This window comes from Homo sapiens, chromosome 3, assembly GCF_000001405.40.
Source record: "Homo sapiens chromosome 3, GRCh38.p14 Primary Assembly".
NCBI classification, from domain to species: Eukaryota; Metazoa; Chordata; class Mammalia; order Primates; family Hominidae; genus Homo; species Homo sapiens.
This window is the reverse complement of record NC_000003.12, coordinates 195,769,285-195,776,673: the sequence shown is the minus strand read 5'-3', so window position 1 is coordinate 195,776,673 and position 7,389 is coordinate 195,769,285. Positions and strand designations below refer to the sequence as shown.

The 7,389-nt window shown below is 56.3% G+C and overlaps 1 protein-coding gene across 3 annotated transcripts in view; it reads left to right on the top strand.

Moving 5' to 3' along the window:
- The window catches only part of MUC4 (mucin 4, cell surface associated), a 65,159-nt gene that overhangs the window by 35,256 nt on the left and 22,514 nt on the right, over nucleotides 1–7,389 (top strand). For all 3 annotated transcript variants that reach the window (NM_138297.5, NM_004532.6, NM_018406.7), the window contains 3 exons: nucleotides 2,369–2,502; nucleotides 4,858–5,022; nucleotides 6,303–6,458. In NM_138297.5, coding sequence (NP_612154.2) covers nucleotides 2,369–2,502; nucleotides 4,858–5,022; nucleotides 6,303–6,458 — 455 coding nt within the window. The remainder of the gene's footprint in view (nucleotides 1–2,368; nucleotides 2,503–4,857; nucleotides 5,023–6,302; nucleotides 6,459–7,389) is intronic.

Genomic DNA, 7,389 nt, shown 5'->3' with positions numbered 1-7,389 from the left:
ATGGGTGTGGAAGGTATGGGTGTGGAAGGTATGACTGTGGAAGGTATGGGTGTGGAAGGTATGGGTGTGGAAGGTATGGGTGTGGAAGGTATGGGTGTGGAAGGTATGGGTGCGGAAGGTATGGGTGTGGAAGGTATGGGTGCGGAAGGTATGGGTGTGGAAGGTATGGGTGTGGAAGGTATGGATGCGGAAGGTATGGGTGTGGAAGGTATGGGTGCGGAAGGTATGGGTGCGGAAGGTATGGGTGTGGAAGGTATGGGTGTGGAAGGTATGGGTGTGGAAGGTATGGGTGTGGAAGGTATGGCTGTGGAAGGTATGGGTGTGGAAGGTATGGGTGTGGAAGGTATGACTGTGGAAGGTATGGGTGTGGAAGGTATGGGTGTGGAAGGTATGGGTGTGGAAGGTATGGGTGTGGAAGGTATGGGTGTGGAAGGTATGGGTGTGGAAGGTATGGATGTGGAAGGTATGGGTGTGGAAGGTATGGGTGTGGAAGGTATGACTGTGGAAGGTATGGGTGTGGAAGGTATGGCTGTGGAAGGTATGGGTGTGGAAGGTAAGGGTGTGGAAGGTATGGGTGTGGAAGGTATGGGTGTGGAAGGTAAGGGTGTGGAAGGTATGGGTGTGGAAGTTATGGCCGTGGAAGGTATGGATGTGGAAGGTATGGGTGTGGAAGGTATGACTGTGGAAGGTATGGATGTGGAAGGTATGGGTGTGGAAGGTATGGGTGTGGAAGGTATGACTGTGGAAGGTATGGGTGTGGAAGGTATGGGTGTGGAAGGTATGGGTGTGGAAGGTATGGGTGTGGAAGGTATGGCCGTGGAAGGTATGGGTGTGGAAGGTATGACCGTGGAAGGTATGGCCGTGGAAGGTATGGGTGTGGAAGGTAAGGGTGTGGAAGGTATGGGTGTGGAAGGTATGGGTGTGGAAGGTAAGGGTGTGGAAGGTATGGATGTGGAAGGTATGGGTGTGGAAGGTATGGGTGTGGAAGGTATCGGTGTGGAAGGTATGGGTGTGGAAGGTATGACTGTGGAAGGTATGGGTGTGGAAGGTATGACTGTGGAAGGTATGGGTGTGGAAGGTATGGGTGTGGAAGGTATGGGTGTGGAAGGTATGGGTGTGGAAGGTATGACTGTGGAAGGTATGGGTGTGGAAGGTATGGGTGTGGAAGGTATGGCTGTGGAAGGTATGGGTGTGGAAGGTATGACTGTGGAAGGTATGGGTGTGGAAGGTATGGGTGTGGAAGGTATGGGTGTGGAAGGTATGGGTGTGGAAGGTATGGGTGTGGAAGGTACGAGTGTGGTAGGTATGGCTGCAGAAAGTCGTCCCGGTGCTGCATGGGGGTGGATCCCCGAAGCATTTGGGGTGGCTGAAAATGAGAAGAAGGGTAGCAAAAAGTGCGGCCGGCATGCGGGGAATCCTGTAGGCAACGGGAGCCAGGGAGGACTCAGTTTTGCATTGTACAAATGGCATTTAACAAGTGGTGCCTGGAGCGGTCCGATTTGCAGGCAGTGAGGAGGCCAGGAGAGCCTGCGGGTTTCCAAGCAGGACCAGGGGAGGGCGCCAAGGAGTCGGCAGCTGCGAGAAATATTTGGGACAAGGTTTCTCAAACTGGAGCCCGAGGGCCTCTAGGGAGTCCTAGGTTAAATTGGAGGAGTCTTCAAGTTTATCTGGAGAAAGGCCGTCTTAGGAAACAAGTCTCATTCCCTGAAAAGGGCTTTGCAGTTACTCATCTTCATTGCGCTGGACTTTTGTCTATTTTTTTTTTTTTTTTTGAGATGGAGTTTTCGCTCTTGTTGCCCAGGCTGGAGTGCAGTGGCGCGATCTCAGCTCACTGGAACCTCAGCCTCCCGGGTTCAAGCAATTCTCCTGCCTCAGCCTCCCGAGTGGCTGGGATTACAGGCATGCGCCACCACACCCGGCTAATTTTTGTATTTTAAGTAGAGACAGGGCTTCTCCATGTTGGTCAGGCTGGTCTCGAACTCCTGACCTCGTGATCCTCCCGCCTCAGCCTCCCAAAGTGCTGGGATTACAGGCGTGAGCCACCGCACCCAGCATAGACTTTTGTCTTTTAACCCTGAAAAGGATTGAGACTAAGAGATTGAGAATCGTTTGCTGGTATTCTGACAGCAGGACCTGTTTTTCTCCAAGCTGGGGAAGGATGAGAGGCGCAGTTTAGGGAGTAAAATGACCACATGCATTTAATGTGGGTGGAGAGGGAGCGAGAAGCACCCTAGATGGCTGCCTCTGGGGCCCTCGGGGAACACAGGACAGGTGTGGGCAGCCTGCAGGGAGCGCTCTGGGATCCCTTTCAGCCCTAAAGAAGGCCCAGGCCCACTTGGACTTCCTGCTCTTCTCTGTCCTGGCCCAGGAGTTTCCCTCTTCCCCTATGGGGCAGGCGCCGGGGACCTGGAGTTCGTCAGGAGGACCGTGGACTTCACCTCCCCACTCTTCAAGCCGGCGACTGGCTTCCCCCTTGGCTCCTCTCTCCGTGATTCCCTCTACGTGAGTCCGGGCTGCGGCCCGCGCAGCCTGAACTCCCAGGGCCCACTTCTCTCTCCTGCTTCGAGACGGAACCCAGAGGAAGCGGGAATGGAAGCAGCCTTGGCTGGGCCCCTCGTCCATCCCCACAGCCTCCTTAATGTCAGGCCTCTGCCTGAGGAACACAGGGTGCCAGGCGAGGGCTGCCCACCTGCTGGGCCCACCGCTGCTTCTGCGGGGCCTTCTCAGGAGTAAAAAGCTACACTTGGGAAACTGGACTGTTCCTGCCGTTTCCACCTTCTGGGATTTGTCTCTGGCCCCCTGGTCCCTGCCTCCTGGAGCAGAGTTGGAGGGACAGTCCTGGCTCCTGTGGCCCTGAGGGAGGAGGCTGAGTCCGAACACAGCATGAGAGGGCGACTGAGCGATGGAGAGGGTGTCCACACCTGCTGAGCGATAGAGAGAGGGTGTCCACACCTGCTGAGCGATGGCGAGAGGGTGTCCACACCTGCTGAGCGATGGCGAGAGGGTGTCCACACCTGCTGAGCGATGGCGAGAGGGTGTCCACACCTGCTGAGCGATAGAGAGAGGGTGTCCACACCTGCTGAGCGATGGCGAGAGGGTGTCCACACCTGCTGAGCGATAGAGAGAGGGTGTCCACACCTGCTGAGCGATGGAGAGAGGGTGTCCACACCTGCTGAGTGATAGAGAGAGGGTGTCCACACCTGCTGAGCGATGGAGAGAGGGTGTCCACACCTGCTGAGTGAGAGAGAGGTTTCCACCCCCTAAGTGATGGAGATGGGGTGTCTGCACCCCTGAGTGATGGAGAGAGGGTGTCTACACCCCTGAGCGATGGAGGGGGGTGCCTACACCTGCTGAGCGATAGAGAGAGGTTTCCACCCCCTAAGTGATGGAGATGGGGTGTCTGCACCCCTGAGCGATGGAGAGAGGGTATCTACACCTGCTGAGTGATAGAGAGAGGTTTCCACCCCCTAAGTGATGGAGATGGGGTGTCTGCACCCCTGAGCGATGGAGAGAGGGTGTCTACACCCCTGAGCGATGGAGAGGGGGTGTCTACACCCCTGAGCGATGGAGAGAGGATGTCTACACCCCGAACGATAGAGAGGGTGTCCACACCCCTGAGCGATGAAGGGAGGGTGTCTACACCCCTGAGCGATGGAGAGAGGGTGTCCACACCCCTGAGCGATGGAGAGAGGGTGTCTACACCCCTGAGCGATGGAGAGAGGGTATCTACACCCCTGAGCGATGGAGAGAGGGTGTCTACACCCCTGAGCGATGAAGGGAGGGTGTCTATAGCCCTGAGCACCCCTGAGCGATGAAGGGAGGGTGTCTATACCCCTGAGCGATGGAGAGAGGGTGTCTACACCCCTGAGCGATGGAGAGGGGGTGTCTACACCCCTGAGCGATGGAGAGGGGGTGTCTACACCCCTGAGCGATGGAGAGAGGATGTCTACACCCCTGAGCGATGAAGGGAGGGTGTCTACACCCCTGAGGGATGGAGAGAGGGTGTCCACACCTGCTGAGTGATAGAGAGAGGTTTCCACCCCCTAAGTGATGGAGATGGGGTGTCTGCACCCCTGAGCGATGGAGAGAGGGTGTCTACACCCCTGAGCGGTGGAGAGAGGGTGTCTACACCCCTGAGCGATGAAGGGAGGGTGTCTACACCCCTGAGCGATGAAGGGAGGGTGTCTACACCCCTGAGCGATGGAGAGAGGGTGTCTACACCCCTGAGCGATGGAGGGAGGGTGTCTACACCCCTGAGCGATGAAGGGAGGGTGTCTACACCCCTGAGCGATGAAGGGAGGGTGTCTACACCCCTGAGCGATGGAGAGAGGGTGTCTACACCTGCTGAGCAATAGATAGAGGGTTCCACCCCCTAAGTGATGGAGATGGGGTGTCTGCACCCCTGAGCGATGGAGAGAGGGTGTCTACACCCCTGAGCGACGGAGGGAGGGCTCCACCCACTGAGCGATGGAGGGAGGGCTCCACCCCCTGAGCGATGGAGAGAGGGTTCCACTCCCTGAGCCCCACCTAATGTGTCGCAAACTTCAGGATGGGGCCCAGGGGACTGGCCAAGAGGGGTGTGCCTGTGAGGGGCTGGTCCACAGCCAGGGATCTGCAGTGAAACAGGACCAAGCCTACCACCCGAGGACGCAAGGGATGGCCTGAGGGCGGAGCATTCTGTGAGAATATATGGAAAGGGCTCTCCCCAAAACAGGACACAGGAGGTGACTTCCAGGGGTTGTTAGCATCTCTAAAGCTCTACCCTTGGGGGTCACGCTTTTGAGGAGCTGGACCAAGGCTGGGACTTTCCTCCCCACTTCCCTCCCTGAATGCTGACCACAAAACCCATGTGCTCAGTTCACAGACAATGGCCAGATCATCTTCCCAGAGTCAGACTACCAGATTTTCTCCTACCCCAACCCACTCCCAACAGGCTTCACAGGCCGGGACCCTGTGGCCCTGGTGGCTCCGTTCTGGGACGATGCTGACTTCTCCACTGGTCGGGGGACCACATTTTATCAGGTGAGCCTTTCAAAGCCTGGCAGTCAGGATCCCCCAGCAGCTGGCAGGGGAGACAAAGAGCTGTGTGGAAGGCTTTGCCAGAGTTGCTGCTGTGACAGCCCCTGCAGCAGGGGACTGAGGCTTAAATATGGGTGTGGGAGGAAGCAGTCAAGGGACATTAAGCTGACTCAGGAGTACCCCAACCCAACCACGAGACTGACCAGGAATACCCCAACCCAACCACGAGACTGACCAGGAATACCCCAACCCGGCCGCGAGACTGACCAGGAATACCCCAACCCAACCACGAGACTGACCAGGAATACCCCAACCCAACCACGAGACTGACCAGGAATACCCCAACCCAACCACGAGACTGACCAGGAATACCCCAACCCAACCACGAGACTGACCAGGAATACCCCAACCCAACCACGAGACTGACCAGGAATACACCAACCCAACCACGAGACTGACCAGGAATACCCCAACCCAACCACGAGACTGACCAGGAATACCCCAACCCGGCCGCGAGACTGACCAGGAATACCCCAACCCGGCCACGAGACTGACCAGGAATACCCCAACCCGGCCACGAGACTGACCAGGAATACCCCAACCCAACCACGAGACTGACCAGGAATACCCCAACCCAACCACGAGACTGACCAGGAATACCCCAACCCGGCCGCGAGACTGACCAGGAATACCCCAACCCGGCCACGAGAAGACCTACAGGTGACGGGGGATGGGGGCTGACAATTCAGCCTTTGATTGTAAAATCAGGCTGTAGGGGGTCTATCCTAACAAGAGTGAGTCAAGAGGGCCCGTCCTGTGCTCCTGGACTGGGTGAATAACTCCAATCAGAGGAAATGTGATGAAAGCTACTGCAGGAAGTGTGGACCGTGCCCCTGCCACGGACAGGGCAGTGTGGAGGCTCCAAGAGGAAGAGACTCACGCCTGTTCTCAAGAAGCTGCAGATTAGGCATGGGGAGGTAAAAGTGGGCCCGAGTGGCTCTGCTCTCTGGGCCAGTTTGAGCTAAGATGCTTGAGTTCAAGTCCAGAGGTCTTGGACGTCTGGGCCACGACCCTGCATTCTGCACACTGCAGGCCTTCCTGCAGCCCAAGTTTGAATTGAACTTCACCTCAGAAAAGCTCACGGCAAAAATGCAGGCCTGGGACAGGGGAGGGCAGGCCATTGGGTGGGCTGAAGTGGGCAGGGTCCTCAGGCAGAAAGTGGGGGGCCCATGTGTAGGAGTGGGACCCTCGTTGGCTTGTTTTCATCTGCCCTCCTTTCCTAGGAATACGAGACGTTCTATGGTGAACACAGCCTGCTAGTCCAGCAGGCCGAGTCTTGGATTAGAAAGATGACAAACAACGGGGGCTACAAGGCCAGGTGGGCCCTAAAGGTCACGTGGGTCAATGCCCACGCCTATCCTGCCCAGTGGACCCTCGGGGTGAGTAGACCCCTGGGCAGCTCCCAGGAGCTATCTGGGAGTCAGACATCCTAGAATCCTAGGCAGGGGCCACTCTTCCAAAATCCTCTCTGGCTCTAGGAAAGATTGCTAATTATAGCAAGCCCCCCCACCGCCACCCCCCCACTGCCACCACTGTTGGCTGAGCACTCACCGTGGGCCCGGCCTGTCTCGGCCCTTTGCCTACTTGACCTCACAGCAGCCCAGCAAACCGGGTATTATTAGGCTGAAACATAGCAAGTGGCATTTTTGTAAGTCAAAAATGTCTGGCTATTCACAATTTCACGTGGCTCAGTCTGGTATTATGCTCCCCATTTTACAGATGAGGAAGACAATGGTTAGAGAGGTTAAGTAACTCGTTCAGAGTCACGCCACTGGCAAATGGCAAAGCCAGGCCTGAGTGGAGCTTCTTCTGACTCCAGCCTCTGGCTCTGAAGCACAGGCTCATCCAACGGGCACAGGGTGCGCCACACCATCTCCTCTGTCCTCCCTCCGAGGACCCCGCTCTTGTAGTCACCAAGTTCTTCCTTATGCCTGGTCTAAAGTCACTCATTTCTTCATTCACTCGACAAAAGTTCACTGGTCACCTACTGTGGACAACGTGTGCGCCTTCAGTGAACCCCAGTGTCATCCATGCTGTTTAGATGGAGGAGACAATTTGGGCAATGTCCTTAAATATCCGCGCGGGAGCTAATGAAGCCTCCTCTCTAGCTCTCTGGTATCTTGGCTGATCTCAGGTTCTGGTAGCTTTCTCTAACAAACACTCATCTAACTGAATTGTAACCCAGAACCCTTTATCTCCCCTCCTGGAAGAAAGTCACCAAAAGGCAAATCCACCGTGGTAAGTGCGTTCGCACCCAGGGTGAAAGCTGCCCTCACTGACCCAAAACTTGCCAGCATTTTGGGCCCATGT